This window comes from Homo sapiens, chromosome 8, assembly GCF_000001405.40.
Source record: "Homo sapiens chromosome 8, GRCh38.p14 Primary Assembly".
Taxonomy (NCBI): domain Eukaryota; kingdom Metazoa; phylum Chordata; class Mammalia; order Primates; family Hominidae; genus Homo; species Homo sapiens.
In genome coordinates this window covers 14,154,700-14,174,724 of record NC_000008.11, presented here as the reverse complement: position 1 = coordinate 14,174,724, position 20,025 = coordinate 14,154,700, and the positions used below count along the sequence as shown (strand labels likewise).

The 20,025-nt window shown below is 35.5% G+C and overlaps 1 protein-coding gene across 4 annotated transcripts in view; it reads left to right on the top strand.

The window, feature by feature from the left end:
* The window catches only part of SGCZ (sarcoglycan zeta), a 1,153,587-nt gene that overhangs the window by 1,063,707 nt on the left and 69,855 nt on the right, over positions 1 to 20,025 (top strand). For 2 of the 4 annotated variants that reach the window (NM_001322879.2, NM_139167.4), the window contains one exon: positions 10,023 to 10,145. The exons of the other annotated variants lie outside the window; for them this stretch is intronic. In NM_001322879.2, the coding sequence (NP_001309808.1) occupies positions 10,023 to 10,145 (123 nt within the window). The remainder of the gene's footprint in view (positions 1 to 10,022; positions 10,146 to 20,025) is intronic. 4 annotated transcript variants of the gene reach the window in all.

Sequence of the window (20,025 nt, the reverse complement as noted above, 5' to 3'; positions counted from 1 at the left end):
AGGCACACCATATTCCACTATTTTATTTCCGTTTCATATTGAGAGGTCAGTATTAGGTTAAATATTGCTCTTTGAAGGTAATTTATCTTTATTTTCTCAGTGTTGTTTCTTTTTTATTTTGGTGTTCTGCATATTCACTAAGATGCGCTTAGGTGGGGATTTTATTTCTTGGGAGTAGGCTGGGCATACATTGAACTTCTTGAGTTTGTGTCTTTCATTATTTCATTATGAATTTGTGTGTTTCATTCAGTCTCCTCTCTGTCAGGAATACCAGTAAATTTAAATTAGAAGTACATGTATGATCAAGTGTTTCAGCTACAGTTGTTGAACACATTTTCTTCTCCAGAAAATTGTTTGGCATCCTTGTAAAATAATCAGTTGAACCATGTACATGTGACTACATGCATTGAGTCTGTTTATGGACTCATTATTCTGATAAACTGATGTATTTTCTATCGTTATGCAATATCACAGTGTCTTGATTAATGTAGTTTGATAGTATGTCTTTAAAACAGGTAAAGTGTTTCAATTTTGTTCTTTTTAAAGATTGTATTAACTATTCCAGGTCACTTACCTGTCTGTATAATTTTTAAGTTAAGTATGAAAATTGTATTGGATTGGATTTATCTATTTATTCTATATATTTTGTTTTACTTTTCATGTTGTTTGAAACTCTATTTTTCATTATTATTCTCATTACAAAGTAGCTTTTTAAAACTCTTTATCCTCCTTGATTTGAGGTTTACTTAGCAGTTATTAATATAACCATTCTAATATCTTATTAAAAGGTTTGCAGTCATGTATGTTAGCATGTCTGTTTTTATATTTCAAATATATCTCTTGTAAGATTTGTAAACTTTAAATTTTTGTTTTTGTAAGAATTTTATGGCAGTGTTTAGTGTCTGTCCATTTATATTTAAAATGCAATTATTGATATGTTTCCATTTGTCTATCATCTCGCTCTGTTTCCTGTACATCTCCTCTATCTTTTGTTTATTTTATCCTCTGTTCCTGCTCCATTTCATCAGTTGAGTACTTTTTAATGTTCAGTTTAATCTCCAGTATTGGCTTTTTAGTTAAGCCTCTTTTACTTGTTTCACAGGCTCATGGACGTTGTATTTATGCTTTTCCTAGTCTTCATTTATCTCTGCTGCTTCATTTGGAGAGTTGTTATACACACCTTTTCAAGTTCACTAATTCTTTCTTCTTCAGAAGGAATTATAATACGCGAATTTAGTCCCATTTGCTGATTTTTTTCACTTAACATATTGAATTTTTCAGCCCTATGCATTTCATTTTCCTTCTTTTTTCTTACATTTAAAATCAATTTCTTTGCTAGGATTCATCTTCTGTTCATTCATTATGTCCGTCTTCCTTTACATCTTTGAACATGTTTATAATAACTTCATATCTTTGCTAACTCTAGCATATGGAGCAAATCTGGGCCCCATTCTATTGCTGATTTTTCTCCTGGTTAGTGTCAATTTTCCCACATTTTTGCACATCTAGTAATTTTAGGAAAGAATAAACGTTGTTGTCTCTCTTAAAAAAAAAACTCTCAAAGCAGGAAGTTAGTTTATTAGCATATCAGCTTGCTCCTGTTCAAGTATGATTTTAGACTTTCTAGACTGAATCTAAAATAGTTATTATTTTACAGTCTAAATAGTTTTAGTTCTAAACTGTGGCACTCAGGGGCCTCAACTTCATGTCCAGGGTGCTTAGGGAAATACCAACACTCTGGTTGGAAGCCCAACATCTAGAATTTTGCATTGATAACCTTTGTTCATCTCACACATTCCCTAGTAGTCTTTATCTAATAATTATCATATGGTATCATCCTGTCCATGTACAATGCAGCCTTTTTACAAAGATTGAAGAGTGCTCCTATAAGTTTTCTGGAGAGCCTTGTAAGCTCAGCTCCCTTTCTCCGTTTCATTGCCCCACAAATTCTGTCCATATCAATTTCCTGAAATCTCATCTCTCCTCCTGCTAGCTGCCAACACCGATGGGCTCTATTTCCCTGTACTGTGATTTGCAAATGGTCCTTAGGAAAACGATGTAATGAATGTGGAGTACACGTTGTATTTCTTTGCCTCAGAGATCACCATCCTGTTGTCTTTTGTCTAATATCTGAAAGACAATTACAACAAACATTTTGCCCAGTTTTATAACTGTTTACATGAGAAAATAAGTCCAAGATTCATTTTTCCACCATGGCCTTTGAGAGGCATGGCGCCGTTCGTGCTGTTAACCAATAATCCTTTCAGTTTAGCAGTGGGATTATTCATTCCTGCATGTCTAAAAACAGACCAGGCAATGTAATTTTCATTTGCTAATGAAATAAAATGTGATGTGTTCCTTCCAAATGAAAGGTGAGGCAGTGCTGAGTTGGCCATATCCCTTTCTCTTGTTGCCACAATCTTGAAAGACTGTGTTGAGATAAAGCCTTCATCATTTGAATTTGTAGGTGATTACAGTAATTAAAGCATGTTTGCTGACCCATGCTGGAAATGGGCATGAACAAAAAATAAGTCTTTGTTGTGTGGAATTTGGAAGATTATTCTCTTGCATAAAACACTAGGTCATCATTTGTTATATAAGAGCTTTAATGCAAATACCTTATCTGGTCATCTTTTTCAGAAACCAGACTTTCTGTGATACTTCTTTGGGAACCACAAATAATACTCTTCAAAGCAAGCAATTCTAAGCATTCCATATACACTAGCTATAAAAAAAATAGTAACGCAGTTGCCTAAGATATTGTAATGAAACAGTTATATAATAGGATTTTTTAAATTGTTAATTTTGACATTTATTCTTGTTCAGCATTTAATTCACTGATTTATGACACTAAAAGCATGTTTCCACTAAATGAATTTCAGAAACAAGAAATCTTACTGTTATCAAGATGAAACATAGAATAATTTTTATATAAAAACTAAATGTCAATAAGCATAGCTTAGATATCCTTATTAAAAGGCATAAGTGGTAGGATAAATAAATATATTAGGAGGTACTCAAGAAAAGATAGAAACTCTTTGATAACATTTTAATGAGATAATACATTCTCCATTTAAAATGGTTTCTGTATACGATTTTTTATGTTAGAAAATGTAAATATATGTACTTTTAAAATGCCTTTCAGTATGATATTTAAGTGATAAATATTCAAAATAGAATATTTTTAAAATAGAGAAAAAATTTGAAATTTCATGTGGAACTTGTACTGAATTGGTACTAGGAGATTATACTACCAGTTGAATACATCTGCAGATTTTACTTCTGCAACTAAACAAGTTATGTTACATATAGTTTAGAGGAAAGATGCATAAAAATAAATTAGAAAACTTTGCACCAACTCTTCATAATTGTGTTTAAAGTGCAACATGAAGATCTCTTTTTAAGATGTTATTTGAAACAAAATATCAGAAAATGCATGGTAGAAAGAAAAATGAAGTATGAACAACTTATGCAAAACTACCCTGATACATGTGTCAAAATGTAGCCGAAGACCAGGGATGATAAATGAGAAAAAGAAAAAAATTCTGAGGTGTTAGTTTTTTTTTTTTTTTTTTAATGAAACACATATTAGAAATAAAAAGTAACAAGATGCAATGCAAAACATTTTAGTAAAATATTTTCAAGAAATGGGTTTGCAACTTCCACCTTCTACCCACATACCTTCCATAAATTATACAGTAACATTTTTGACATTAACAACTGCCAAAATGAATTTAGCGAATGTGAGATTACCAGAAGACACTAGGATTATTATCCTTTTTTTCTTCAAAAGTAATGACCTGAAATGCAGTTAATCACAATCTCCTTTCATTCCTTAAGTATTCATTGATTCTACACTTGCATAATAATTCTCATAGTATTTGTTCATTGCATGTGACATGCCATTTTTTGTTTCTATTTTTTTCTTAACGAGTCAAAAAGGACGTGTACCTATTTGAATGACTATGAGGTGTAAAAAATATTTACAAAATAACGTCTCACCCGTCAACTTTGTTCTAGCTACAGTTTGGAAATATTGCCATTTTATGTTTGTATACAATGTAAAAACAATATTTTGTACATATGTTGTTCCATTGGGACCCTTAAATAAAACAGTGGGTTGAGGCCATCTGCATTCACTTCTCTTAGACAATGTAGTCAATAGAAGTGGATAGAGAGATCATTTTTACCTTATCCTCTTAAAATTCATAGAGGCCAGGCCCAGGAATGAATATCACATTCCTGGTGTTAGTTTATTAAATGGCTTGCTAGGTAGTCACACAATTCCTTTATTAATATTATTATTTTAGGAATAAAAAGATCTAAGAATACAAGTGTTAGAAATATAATATTTATGCCATTAAGATCAGGTTTGAAATTGTCTAAATAGAAATGTAGTTTACCTAATACAAAGGCTATGAGAAAATTCACCTCAGAATGTTTTTGTACCTTTCCTCACAGCATTACTTCAGGAAATGCTAGAGCATATTTTTTCTTTTAATTAAATACTGAGGATTTGTACGTGTGGATTCGGTGCGGGGGGAGATGCAGTGATTGTTGAAAGTGGAAGATTTCTAAAACTTCTATTTAATAAAGGTTAAGATGAGAGATACAGAGAATAATATATGAAAACTCAAAGAATAAAGGAAAAGTAAAAAAAAAAAAAATCAAGTGAAAGAACCCAATTTAAAATTTACAAAGTATTCAAGTATTCCTGGGGTGTTTAACTTACTGATTCAAGTAATAGGAAAGTTTGTTTCTGACTCCATCCAGCTGTTTCAGCAATTTCTCCAAGAGTGTCTTTCTATGCTGGTCTCTGCCTTTCAGCCCTTTCTTTCTTTTTTCACTAACTGGATGAATTCTCAAGCAGACTGCATCCATATGGAGGTACAGCTAGCCTTAAAAGCTCCAAGTTTATATCATGCTCGGTACCTATAGTCTTACAAAAATATGCCTCTTTTTCAAAACTTGTATCAAGAGAGTGTTGGAGTCAACTGCTTATGCTTGAATCAATTGCTTTGGTCAGAGAAAATAATGCTCATAACAGAACTGGACAATTACTAGCGAAAGATAGCCAGCCCCACATACCCCTGTGGACTGGCTACAGGAAGTGTGTTGTTGGTAAAGGAGATGGACATGGGTGACAAAGGAGGTAGGAAGCAGCAGAGGGATGTCCTGGGAGCCAGTGAGGCAAAGATTTCCAGGAAAAGTAAATGAAAGTGTGTCAGATTCTCCTAAAAGATCAAGTAAGGTAAAAAATCAAGGATTGGCCCCTTAATTTACTGACTTGGAAGTTACTGGTAATACTGACGAGATAATGCCTGATTGGAGTTGGCTTTAAGGAGACTACGAATGGAGGAATTGAAAATGGTGTTCAATAAGATGCTTTCAAGAAGGTTGTCAGCCAAGGGTCTTAGGAGGATGGGGTACTGGGAGCAGGGGGAGACAGTAGCTGGCAGAGGAAGGAAGAGTCAACATACATTCTTCAGAAATTTATTTTTAATTTTGTTATACATCATTAGCAAAAAAGTTCCCCCAAATATTAATCTTGTGGAATGTCAAGTTGTACCTTCTCCAGGAGGTATAAAAGTTAGGAATATAATAGAGCCACACAAAGACTCCCTTAGCTCTTAGAACTTAGCACTTAGGACTTAGTACTCAAACAGCCTTGGCTTGAATCCTAACTCTAGAGTGCATTACGTATAACATATTAGGAACATTTCTTAAATCTTAGTGCCTTGGTTTCCTCATCGGTCAAATAGGGATCACCTCCCATGATTGTTATGAGGATTAAATTAATTAATTTATATTTGTAAAATGCTTCCATTGCTGCCTAGCATATAGTAAGTCCGCTAAATGGTTAACTTGAAGTTTTGTTTGGAAAATCTAGGGACAAAGTAAAGAAAAAGTAGGCAATTCCTTTTCCAGGGATCTCATATAACAGATTTTCTGCAAATGTTGCACAATGAGTTCTTAATGACTAGCATAGGGTAAAATAAAAGAACTCACAATGCGTATTAGTCCGTTTTCACACTGCTAGTAAAGACATACCTGAGACTGCCTAATTTATAAAGAAAAAGCGGTTTATGGACTCACAGTTCCACGTGGCTGGGGAGGCCTCACAGTCATGGCTGCAGGCAAGGAGGAGCAAGTCACATCTTACGTGGCAGCCGGGAAGATAAGAGCTTGTGCAGGGAAACTCCCCTTTATAAAACCATCAGATCTCATGAGACTTATTCACACTCATGAGAACAGCACAGGAAAGACCTGCCCCCATGATCCAATTACCTCCCACTGGGTCCCTCCCATGATATGTGGGAATTGTGGGAGCTACAATTCAATATGAAATTTGGGTGGGGAGACAACCAAACCATATTACAGTGTATATTTATATTTATATTTCATGAAAGCAGCTTATTTTGTTTTGTTTTAAACTTAGTTTGTTGTTGGTTGGTTGACTGATTTGGCCCACAGCAATTCTAAACCAGGAATTTCTGAATATAGAATTTAGTTGGTAATTTTGAATCTCATTTTTGTTTTCCTTGTGGAAATTTTGAATCTTTTAGTAATACTATTCTTCAAGGCCTTGAAAATACTGACAGGCATCTAAGATTAAAGTGAAGAGTTATATAGAAAAGAAAGGATGATCATGACAAGTTTGAGGAAGACACACTAGAAACAAGCAGCTATATCCATTTTTATCTTTGTTTTGTTTTCCTTGAATTACTGCTAAATAGTACCAAGAGGAATCTTGAAAATATATATTTGAGCCTCTTTGAAGATTTTTATGTAATAGAAGAAAAATTTCCAATTCATGTATTTGACCGATGTACTGTAGAACATACAAAGACCAGTATTTAAATTACTGAATTATCTCTCTTTGTCAGCCAAAGATGACTTTGGCTGTTGATTAAGACTGCAACAGATGTGAATGTTCAAAAAAAGTGATGGAGCCATCTCTGAGAGAAGCAAGAAATTGGCTTTATGCTTGTCCTTGGTGATGGTGGTGGTTTGTTCTTTTAAGAATGTATATAGAACATTTAAAAAAGTAGAGAAAATATTTGCACATATATCTAATACTCCAGTCTTTTTATGGAACCTATTATTTTGCTTACATCTTTTTTTTTCTTGCCAATTCTCTTTCCTTCTTCTATCCTTGACTTCTCTTTGTTGATTGTGAGTTTATTGACATAAACTTTCTCAGAGATGTTCCTAAGGAAGTGTTTAGTCTTGGTACTTTAGTTAGCAAGTTGGTGTTTAAGATGACTAAGAAAATATAGCACTACCCAGATAATCCCATCACCTATGATCTACTTGTTAAGGAATCAGAGCTCCTTACCCAGAGTCATCTAGACACATTGCTTTCCTGCAACACTGGCAGCATCATTGGTGGATTAAGATTGAATGGGGCATTGTTGCTTCTCTAAGTAACTGAATCCTGCCTTGACCTATCTTAGAGAACATGTGATGTTACATGAAAAACAGATAAGTAACACAGTGCATCTTAGAATATAATAAAATCAGTTTCATAAAGCCTAATATATTAACTTTAAGCATAAATATCCCTAATAATTGACTATATCCCCAAGAACATATCATTTTCCATTTGCAGGAAAGAAAAGCAATGTATAAATGCAATATATTCAAAATTATTTTCTGATTTAGAATATTTATGTACTATCAATGCATTGCTAATTGCTTGTAATTTTGCCTTCTGTAATTATGCTAATATGATGAATAAAGTGTAGTCTGCAGTATGAATTTTTATATCTCTTTTTCAATTAGATGACTCTGCATGCATTTATTTATGGCTTAGATGCATCTCATCTATGTGCGTAAATATTTTCTTGTTTGCTTATTTGCCTTTGCTTATTTACATTTAATGAATTAAGGTTTCACCTCACTTCACCATATCCAGACACCTCTCCACTTATTTTTCTAACAGTTTATATGTCATGCAATATAGCATGTTTATGTTAATAATGTATCTTTCATATAATGACATTAAGTGTTATGCCAAGAAAAGTCTTGGTATTATGTGTGTGTGGGTGTGTGTGTTTAATGTTGTCTAATGTACATCTATGCCATTAAAGTCAGCGATATATTTTGAGAATCAATTATGCTCAGCAACTGAGTATATTTGAAGGAAGCAATGTACTGTAAATATTGAGGTTTTATGTGTAAGATATCTATAATACCTTTCAGGCAGTTCAGGGTTAATGTGTGCCTGGGTCCCTCAGAGTAAGTCACATGTATTAACACATTGGCCTCTGGCACAGTTTTTTGAACATCACCCAATAGTTGGATTACTATGGCTCATTGTCGTCTATGGCACAAAATAAGATTAGACTATGATTAGAACAAATCACACTCAAATGAATACAAGCTGTCGAAATAATGTTTTCAAGATCAAATGCAACAACTATGACCAAGGACAATAGGTCTTCAATGGTTTCCATATTTTCATTAAATTATATAAGGAAAGGTATTTATTTAAAAATTTTTAAAAAGCATGAATTCTATTTTTAAAAATCTGTTATTTTAAACTTTACAGCCCAAAAGTTTAACATTAGTTTTAATCTTACTTAGCATAGCCCTAGTTGAAGCTTTTCAAATTTTTATGTGGTCCTGGAAGCATGTATGTAGTTTCAGAATATTAAAAAAAATACATATGGCTTTTGGAGAAATTAGCTTACATGTTATTAGGGTTTTAAATTATTTTTTCTCTTGATGAATGCTCCTCAGCAGCTATGATGATGGGGAGGAGTAAGTTTTTGCAGCCTATTGGCTAGCACTGGGAGTAGTGCTGAGGTGGGGTTAGGGACCAATGAATGGATGAAAGCTTAAGTATTCATTCATCTATTTAATATTCATCTACTGGTGCTACTAGAAGCGACACATCTCCCAATTTAAGGATGTTTTGGAATACAAAGATGATGTCCTGCTTTGAGCTCCTGGGTGTCATATATCTAATAAATAAAGTGAATACATAAAGACAAATGAAAAGAACTATGCCCCACATGTGTGATTCCTACTTCCCTGACTCAGCTGGGTTCTATCTGATAAGAGCTTTTAATATAAATAGAAGAGGAGGAAGGTTTCCTATCTTAATAGGAGCGGGAACTATAGATCCATATGCCAAAAGTGTTATGTCCAAAGAAATTTGGACATAATATGAATTATGGGAAGATGAATTACTGCTGGCCATTATCTCAAATTTCTTCCTCCTCAGTTAACATTCACCTTCAAGGCCCAGTTAGATTTTCTTGCCAAAGCCTAATACTCAAACTAATTGTGTTTTCTAAATATGGAAGCTGGCTTTGAGTTTTGTGTATAGATCAGTGTGTAGAATTGGCCAGTAAGTTGGTTTTGTAATTACATTTATTTAATACCGTTTTTCAATAAATCAGGAAAATTATTGATTGGAAGATACATTAGGTACCACTAAGGAAATTATATATATAATTTCAAGATGTACTATAAAATGGATTAAAATTCACTTATATTAAAGGGTAGAAAACATCAATATTAGAATCTATGACATGTAGACTAGCTAAAGATTCATAATTGAATAATGCTTAACAAGTCCTCCGTGATGTAGCAAGCATGGGTACTATTGTCTACACTGCAGAGGTAAGGCATGAGAGTCACTCAGTCCACAAGTACTTATTAAGCATCCAGCAGGTGCCAGGTATGATGCCAAGGTTTCAGCCTGCAACAGAGAACAAAGCAAACATTGTCTCTTTTTGTGGATATGTGAAGGGCTCTTAACTGGCTAAACTCACATGCTATGTCAGACATCCAGAGGTCACCTGTATGCCTAACCAGCCTAGCACAGAAGTACATTCCCAAATTAGCCTCCTGAAAATGGTGACAATTTAAAGATACTAACTCAGATGCAAAACATACAGCAGAGATAAACAAATTAAATAATATATGCATTTCTAGTCTATTTCCAAAAAATACATGTTAATGGTTTCCTGCATACCAGTTTCATTTTTAAACCTTTCCTCTGACCATAGGAGCTGATGCTGTGGAAGCTCAGTGTAAAAGATTTGAAGTGAGAGCCAGTGAAGATGGCAGGGTGCTGTTTTCTGCAGATGAAGATGAGATTACCATTGGGGCTGAAAAGCTGAAAGTTACAGGTACTGTAGATGGAGGTCTTGAAAAATTGTTTACTTCTTTAAAGAATATACAACTGCACAAGGAGCTTCTTAATAAGATGGATGATTCCTATGCCTAAAGTAGAGTCTTACATAATCACAACGTTTGTTCTTCAAGTAGCCTTCAAATGGAAGGCACTGGTTGTGGTTGTAGAAAAGAATGCAAATATTAGCAGCCTCAATGACATAAAAGTAAAGCCATCTCTCAGGTGGAGGCAGGGGGAAGAAAATGATGTGGCTGGGCGGGGTGGAGATGAAATGCAAATTCTGAGTAAAGGGGACTAACAAATAATAATTTGGGAGTATTATTTTAAAATAAAAGACGTGCGAAGGAACTAAAATGGAAATTTTAACTTTAGAATTAAGTAAGGGGGAAGTTATAATAAAAGTAAACTAAATTAATTTTATATGGCTTTCATAATTATCCTCAAAAGTATGTAAATAAAAAACTAATGCTATACACATATTATTTAAAAGTCATTATTATAATATTGGGGTCACTAAAGTCAACCACCAGCTGAAATTAAAATTTTAAAAAAGGTAAAAGTGGGACCAGGATTGGGGAATAATTTGATGACAATTTTAAGCACAATCTCTTCTGAATTACTTGATTCACAACCATGACAAATTTTATTTTGATAACACATTTAACAATCCCTTGAAAGTACCCAAGGAGGTCTACATTTTAAAAAACAAGAAGAAAATAATAAAGTATATTTGACTTCATGTTTCCCAAACTTGAGTTTGGAAACAGCTCATGCGTATCTATCCATATTAATTTGGGTCAAACAGTCCTGTGGGTCAGGTGAGGGCAGTTAGCATGGCAATTGAAGAACATCAACTCTGTTCTTGGGTTGTTTGGGTTGAATCCTGCCTCTGCCTCTCCATATATTCAACTCTAGATGCCTCTGATTTTCCCTCATCTGAATGATTGAAATGATAATAACTTTAGTGGTCAAATTAAATGCATGTGTGTGTAGTTGTGTGATGAGAATGTGCTCAGTACATAATGAAGAGGTTGTGTTGGCTCTTTATATTTATTAATGATGATAATATTGATACTGCAAATGTCAGAGACAGGAGGGCCTGTGTTGATTTCAAGAAAGGTGTATTAAACTAATGCAGGAATAGAAAGCCAAACACCACATGTTCTCATTTATAAGTGGGAGCTATAAATGATGAGAACACATGGACACATAGAGGGGAACAACACACACTGGAGCCTGTAAGCGGGCGGAAGTTGGGAGGAGGGAGAGTATTAGGAAAAATAACGAATAAGTATTAGGTTTAATACCTGGGTGACAAAATAATCTGTACAATAAACCCCCACGACACAAGTTTACCTCTGTAACAAACCTTCACATGTACTCCTGAACTTAAAAGTTAAAAAAAGTGTATTGGCTGGACATAGTGGCTCATGCCTATAATCCCAGCACTTTGGGAGACAGAGGTGAGAGAATCGCTTGGTTCAAGTCCAGCCTGGGCAATATAGTGAGACCTTGTGTCTACCAAAATTTTTGAAAATTAACCAGGCATGAAGGTGTGTGTCCATAGTCCCAGCTACTCAGGAGGCTGATGTGGGAGGATGGCTTGAGCCCAGGAGGTCAAGGCTGCAATGAGCCAAGATCATGCCAGTGCAGTCTAGCACAAGTGACAGAGCCAGACCCTCTCTCGAAAGTAAAATAAAATAAAAAGATGTGTTATTAAATGGTGATGAAATTCAACAGGGATTATTGAATGGGAACCCTCACTGGGTATCCCCTGGCCTGAATCAAATCCTACCACCCTTACCCCTACGCCTGTCCCTCCTGTCCCTTGGGAGCAAGTTCTGCTGAGAGGGTGGAGCCTCCACCATTGGGTGAGTGTTTAGGATGGTCCCCATGAATACTCACCTGGTTGATGTCCATTTTTCTTAAGACTTCTTGGGAAGGCTAGGAAAGGAGGCACGTACGGAGGGTACAGATTGACCTTCTTGAGTCCTGAGTTAGGAGAGCAGGGACAAAGAGAGAGAAAGAGAGTTCTGTTTGTCATAGAACACAGACAAATCAGAAAGGACATTAGTTGTAGGGCCCTGAGCACTAACATTTGAATTGCTTGTTGGTGAGTAAGTGAGGTTCCTTAGGGTAGAAATGCCTTCAGGGGAACTGGGCAACATTAATAATCTTTGAACCCTGGTAATGCTTACTGGTCATCACTCTTGAGACCAACATAATCCTGAGATAAATTCTAGGACATTACACACTTATCAAAAATTTATTTAATCCATATTCCGATATTCTCATTGGGTACTTTACAATCATAAGTAAAGGGAGATTCTAGAGTTCTTGGCAGCTTTTACGATCTCATGGAATTTTCACTTCTTCTGATATTTGTATTACCTTTGCCTGTCTCATAATTGTTCCAGCGAAGTAAAGGCAGATGGTCACATTCATTTTCTGCTTTTGCTTAGTAGCCCCGATGCCATCCTTGAAATGTTGCTTGGACTAAGTGCTTCCTTAGCCCAAATTGGCAAGAAAGTGCTTCCTGAAAAATCTAAGTTTTTCTGCTTTTTAATTCAGTGCCTTAAGGCAGTTATCTATTCTCTCTCCCTTTATCTTTCTCTCTCTCTCCCTTCTTCCTCCTATTGCTTCTCCTTCCCCATCCCATGTGTGTGTAAAATGTGTCTATGTGTGTGTGATGTGTACATGTGACTTATGTGACTGTATGTATAGATATACATATATGTGTTTCACACTGGCTCTCTCTTTTCATTTCTTTCTCTGTCTCAAATATATGCACATAGTATTGCATTTATTCTTTATAATGTTCTCGATTGATCTATATTTTCCAATTATCTCAGACACCCCTACTTAATTAGAAGTCTATGTCATATACTTTCAGATGATCTTAATAAAATAATAAAATTACAAGCAGATTATTGTAAAAGGTTGGAACATAATACTTAGAATGAAAGAAACACCCACAAACTATGAGATTGCCCATAGCAAACAATGTTGACCTTTAACCTGATGCAGATGTACAATAGGGTGAATATTGGTAATCAATAAATGGTAAATTAGAGAATATTTCATTTGATTAGAACTGTCCTCACTATCCAATCACATTTCTGTGTCTCTTAGAAGAGCCCATTTACCACTTACACACCCTAGAGTCACAAACATACACATAGGCACATAGACAAACTAATTCTTGCCAGGACTTTACTCCTTACCAGAATAGCAGATATTAACTTTATAACAGCTTCATGCTTTCCCGTGATATTCCTTAAAGAAAGAAAAATAAAAATATCAAAGGCAAATATAATTTAGAATTTCATGTGCTTAGAGGAAAAAAATGTGCGTAGCATAGCATGCAGATTTAGAGCGTTAAGATTGACTAGTAACCTCACATATACTTTAAAGCAGTGCTTGAATCATTTGACAAATAACAGTACAAAGAGACATTGACTCCAGGGTGCTTCATATAAATTAGATACCTGTGCTGACAGGACTTCAAAGTTACATGTGATGACAGATATGTGTGAAGTTTATTCTAGAATTTCAAATTTGTGGCACAAATGTTTTCTATTTAAGCAATATTTATAGGAATTAAAATGGATGCCTTGCAGCTTTATATTTTTTGAGCAATGCCATTTTATAAAGGAACTTGTCTTTCAGGATGACTTCAGTGGATGGATTCATTTAGACAAGGGATGTGTCTGTATATCTGAGGCAAAGTCAGTTATGACTATAATGATTCACAGACCTAGCGTAGCTCATGATATTTACGTTCACTCTACCTACAAAGCAGCAGGAATTTACCTGATACATTCAGATACTCATGGGTGTGAGGACACAGAAGTAAAATGGTAAACACATACCTGAACACCACCATCTATCAATACCCCATCACCATAAAGAGCAATCACATGCTTAAGGTTTGTAATTTTCCACTCTTGACATTACTTGTCTTGCCCAGGAGAAGTTTGCTTAAATCTTAGTATAATGATACTTATTTGACCTTAACATGTCCTCTCTGTATCACTGAATATATAGGAGTTTTATACTTTAGCTCACCTATGCACAATTGAAAACTATATTTTTATTTTGTATTCCCTACTATTGGCCAAAGGTATGACTTAATTCAATTATCTTTTGAGACCTAGTCAACACAACAAAAAAAGGAATAAACCTTTACACACGGAAGTCTCTTAAATTTAATGCTTTCAGGCAGAATCAATCAACTGCAATCTGCAGTTTCATTCGTATTCCACATAGTATATTAACTTTAGAAAACAAATTTCACGAATAAGCCACTCTGCTTTAAAAAGTGAAAGACATCAGCCCCGTAGAATTGTTTCATGGTAAATTAAAAGCTATTAGTTAGACTTAGATCTAGACCTGTTTTTTTTCTATGATGTAAAAGAGGACAGCAGTTAAATATATCAAAAGAAAGCATATCTGCTTTTTTTTAGACAGTAGCAATTAAAACTAAAAACCTGAAAGAATCGTGAAATCCAACTCTGCATCTACCCAGTGCCCTAGCGTTTGTTTGAAAGCCAAGACTATCAGTCCTTTGCCTCCGTTCTAATTGAATGCTTGGAAGTCTAGGCAAGTTCCCATGTCTGTTTGACAACAGAAGAAAGGACTTTCTGAAGAGCTGTCTTTTAAATTAAACACCATGCTTCTGGGTTCCAATCAATATCTTCTGGTTTGTTTTTATTAGTTCATCTTCTACATCCTTGTTCTTGTCTATTAAATTGGCACACTGCGATGGGGTCAGCTTTGGACTCAACCTTTCTATTAGATAGGCCATTGTTCCTCTTCACTGTCCAAATGCCAAGAATGCGGTAACACTCCGGCAGCAGGATGGAGCCGCTTTGTTCAAACAACCCATGAAGAAATGTGATTAGATTAGGTGCTGAGAAAAGGAACGTGCAATCACTTCATTTTCTCTGCTGAAACTTTAAAGTTTGTAGACCTGGATCAGTCACTCAACTCAGTTTTCTAGTTGCTTTTTGAACTTACTGAAAATAAAAATTCCCAAGACACTAAATATTAGTACCACCCCACCTTCCCCTTAAGTCTCCAGGTGAATCCTGATTTCAGGTTTTGAAGTGTATAAATAATAAAGAATGCCATCTTCACAAAATAAGCTGTTTCCTCTAAGCACCTTACCAACGGTCCTCTTCATGATTTATTTTTTTAAGCTTTAAATATTTCATATAGTTTTGTGAAAGCAAAACTTCTTGAAAATATAATTAAATAACAGGTGAAATGGGAGAACAGTCATAAAAGAGGACAGTTCATTCCCCTGCCTCCACCTGCAGCCACCAAAAAAGTGGTTATATCAACTCACTTCTCTCTGTAGAGGTTTTAAAATTGTCCATTTGATGTTTAAAGTGTCTCTTATAGCTTTAGGTCTTAGACCCACAAAATCTCATAATTTATCCTGCCATGTATCAATGAATAGTCTGATTTCCTATATATCATGATATTAAAAAAATACATTACTGGCCAGGCGCAGTGGCTCATGCCTGTAATCCCAGCACTTTGGGAGGCCAAGGAGGGCAGATCATTTGAGGTCAGAAGTTTGAGACCAGCCTGGCCAACATGGTGAAACCCCCATCTCTGCTAAAACTACAAAAATTAGCCAGTGTGCTGGTGGGCACCTGTAGTCCCAGCTACTCGAGAGGCTGAGGCAGGAGGATCATTTGAACCCAGGAGGCAGAGGTTGCAGTGAGCCAAGATCCTGACACTGCACTGCAGCCTGGGCAACAGATTGAGACTCCATCTCAAAACAAGCAAACATAGAAAACTATATATATATAGAATATGGTATGCAAGACTTGGTCGTAGTTACTTTGTCTCCTTGCTGGCCATCATTCAGGGCCTGGTATTTGCACTGCTGGCTGCTCATGCGGACTTCTCATGGTTTCCAAATATCTAGCCTCCAGTAACAGTAAGTCAAATTCCTCTCATGGCTTGAATTTCTCCACTGTGATAGTGAATATTGTCAACTTGATTGGATTGAAGGATGCAAGGTATTGTTCCTGGCTGTGTCTGTGAGGGTGGTTGCTAAAGGGATTGACATTTGAGTCGGTGGACTGGGAGAGGCAGACTAACCCTCAATCTAGGTGGGCACCATCTAGTCAGCTTTTATAGCTGTTGGGAATACATTGCCAGGTTGCTCTGTGGAGATCGCATTACCCGGATACCTGGCTAATCCAGGATAAACTTCCTATTTTAAGGTCAATTTATTAGGAGCCTAAATTACATCTGCAAAATCTCTTTTGCTGTGTAGAATAATATATTCACAGTCTCTAGAATCTAAAGTATGAAAATCTTTGGCAGGACAAAAGAGGTTATTCTGCCTACTGTACTGTACAAAGTATGAATCTCTCTAGGCTTGTTTTTTCTTCTATTAAAGGACCATTATAAGAAGCACTTACCACATAGGGTTTTGATGAGGAAAAAAAAAAAGACATGTGAAAATAACTTAGGACCAAAGCTGGAACAATTTTGGCACAATTACCAGCACCCTGGATAATTTTTGTAGTTTTAGTAGAGACGGGGGTTTCACCATGTTGGCCAGGCTGGTCTCAAACTCCCGGCCTCAAGTGATCTGCCTACCTTGGCCTCCCAAAGTTCTGGGATTACAGGCATGAGCTACCGTGCCTGGCCAGTAATGTGTGTTTTTAACATCATGATCTATAGGAAATCAGACTATTCATATGTCTATGTCTTCAGTGTTCTGTGAGAGAAAATAAACTTTATATAATTTGAGCTACTGTATTATGGGGATATAACTAGTATTACTTACCCACCTTCTTCTATCCCTCTTTTTACATTTTCTCTAGAAGCATCAACTATTTCCAGATACCTAGTAAGAAGTACTATTTTATATTTCTTATAGTGAATATACAATTCACATTTCCTGTACTTTCAACATTCTTCTTTTTTAATCTACTGACCATGTTTTTTTTTTATTTTTCTGCACAAGTACTTATTTTACAACTAACAAATAAATAACAGTAATGTTATTTAAAATTATCACTTGGTAAAAATAGTATTATCAAATACCAAACACTTAAGTCTCCTGTGTTAGAGAGTAAGAAAAATGCTCAATGATGGGGACATGTCAAAAAGACATATGAGCCAGTTGGGAGATGCTTCTATGGGCTGAGCATACACACACACACACACACACACACACACTCACACACACACACACACACACACACACAGAGGCATATATATGTATATAACATATAATATTGTATATTAAATATAATATGTATATACATTTTATATATATATAAAATTATGTGCTATATAATGTTCAGCCAATGAAGGACCACATATACATTGGTGGTCCCAGGAGGTTATGATGGAGATAAAATTTCTTATCACCTAGTGATGTCATAAGCATCCTAAGGTCAGAGCACAACATACTACTTATATGTTTGTCATGATGCCAATGTAAACAAACCTACTTTGCAGCCAGTCATAGAAAACTATAGCACATACAGTTATGCACAGTACATAATACTTGATCACAGTAAATACTGTTACTGATTTATGTATTTACTATAGTATACTGTAGTTTTTTATCATTATTTTAGATTATACTCTTTCTACTTATAAAAAAAGTTAACTGGAGAACATCCTCAGGCAGGTCCTTCAGGAGGTATTTCAGAAGAACGCATTTTTATCATAGGGGATGACAGCTTCATCTGTGTTATTGTCTCTGAAGACCTTCAAGTGGGACAAGATGTGGAGCTGGAAGACAGTGATATTGATGAACTTGATTCTTTGTAGACCTGGGCTACGGGTATTTTCTTGGTGTTTAGCAAAAATGTTTTTTAGAAAAACTTTAAATAGGGAAAAGCTTATAGAATAAGAGTATAAAGAAAGAAAATAGTTTTGAATAATATTATTCAGAAAGAAAGAAATAGTTTAGTTTTGTACAGCTATACATGGTTGTGCTTTAAACCAAGTGTTTGCAAAAGAGTCAAAAAGTTTTTAAAAATTACATAATATTAAAATGTTACAGTAAGTTAAGGTTATTGTTGAAGAAAGAAAGAACTTTTTTGTTTTTGTTTTTGTTTTTGTTTTTTTCTGAGATGGAGTCTCACTCCGTCACCCAGGCTGGAGTGAAGTGGCATGATCTCTGCTCACTGCAACCTCCACCTCCTGGGTTCATGCCATTCTCCCGCCTCAGCCTCCTGAGTAGCTGGGACTACAAGGCGACCACCACCACGCCCGGCTAACTTTTTTATATTTTTAGTAGAGACAGGATTTCACTGTGTTAGCCAGGATGGTCTCCATCTCCTGACCTAGTGATCGGCCTCCCAAAGTGCCAGGATTACAGGCATCAGACACTGTGAGTGGCCAAGAAAAATATTTTTAAATAAATTCAGCGTCGCCTCTATGCACAGTGTTTATAAAGTGTACAGTAGTGGACAGTAAAGTTCCAGGCCTTCACATTCACTCACCACTCACCGACTCATCCAGAGCAACTTCTCGTCCTGCAAGCTTCAGGACTAGAAGTGCCCTATAGGGGTGTACCATTATTTAATCTTTTATATCATTATTTTTACTGTACCTTTTCTGTGTTTAGATATACGAATACTTAACATTGTGTTACAGCTGACTATAGTATTCAGTAGAGTAACATGCTGTACAGGTTTGTAGCTTAGGAGCAGTAGGCTATACCACTTAGCCTAGGTTTGTCAGGTTTTTGGTAAATACACTCTGTGATGTTTGCACAATGGCGAAATCACCAAATGATGCATTTCTCAGAATATCACTCTGTTAAGCAACACATGACTGTATATTTAGATATATGCCTTTGTATATATAAATATATAATATATATTTTACATATATAATGACAATACGTTTGATTGAATAAAATAAAAATCTTTGAATCCATATTATAAATGAATAAATATCATTTTTACTATAGAATGCCAACTAAAAATGTACAAGAAATCATAGGATTAGAAAAGCACCATTTCACAATGATCTGAGTAGTATTTATCTCAGGCAAAATTATCAATGGATGATGAGACTAACGGGAGAAAATGATATGAGACATGATTTTTTTCATATATTCCAAGCACATTTTTAAAACATTAATTTTAATAGAGGGAAAAGTAACTCCAGTGGGAACCTCTGGCTGTCACAGTCTTAGTCAACTAGTGAAAGTAACTACCACCAGTCATGGGCCAAAGAGACATCAGGCAACATCTGATAAGACGTTAAAGGAAGAAAAAAAACTTCTATATTATATCAGACAAAAACGCATAACTTGAGCATTAACTTGAAGAGATTTAGCACAATCTGAAATTGAGAAACATTTTGGAAGATATTAAGGTCAGGAATCAAGGAAAAATTGAGAAACTGTTGAAGGAAACTGGACATTTGCCAGCTGTGTATACCACGTGATTCTAGATTGGATTCATTGTCTACAGAGTGCGTTACTGGAACAGATGGTTTTCTAGTTATCTATTTCTCTGTAGCAAACTACTCCAAAACAGAGTGGCTGTAAATCAGTTGATGGCATTTATTTTGCTCGCAACCTGCAATTTCAACGGCCTTCAGTGGAGGTAGCTGATACCTGCTCCACTGGGCGACAGCTGAGACAGCTCAGAATTTGAGGGCTGGTATCATTTGAAGACTGGCTCACCCCCATGCCTGGAAGCTGATCATAGTTGTCATCAGAGACCTTAGATAGGACTACCTGTCAGAACACCTACATGTGGCCCATCCATGTACCTCCGTTTCCTTAATTCATGGTGCCTGTATTAGAAGAGTAAGCCTTCAAAGAGGGAGAGAGGAGGAAGCTGTACCAAATTTTCTGAAACAGCCTCTACCAT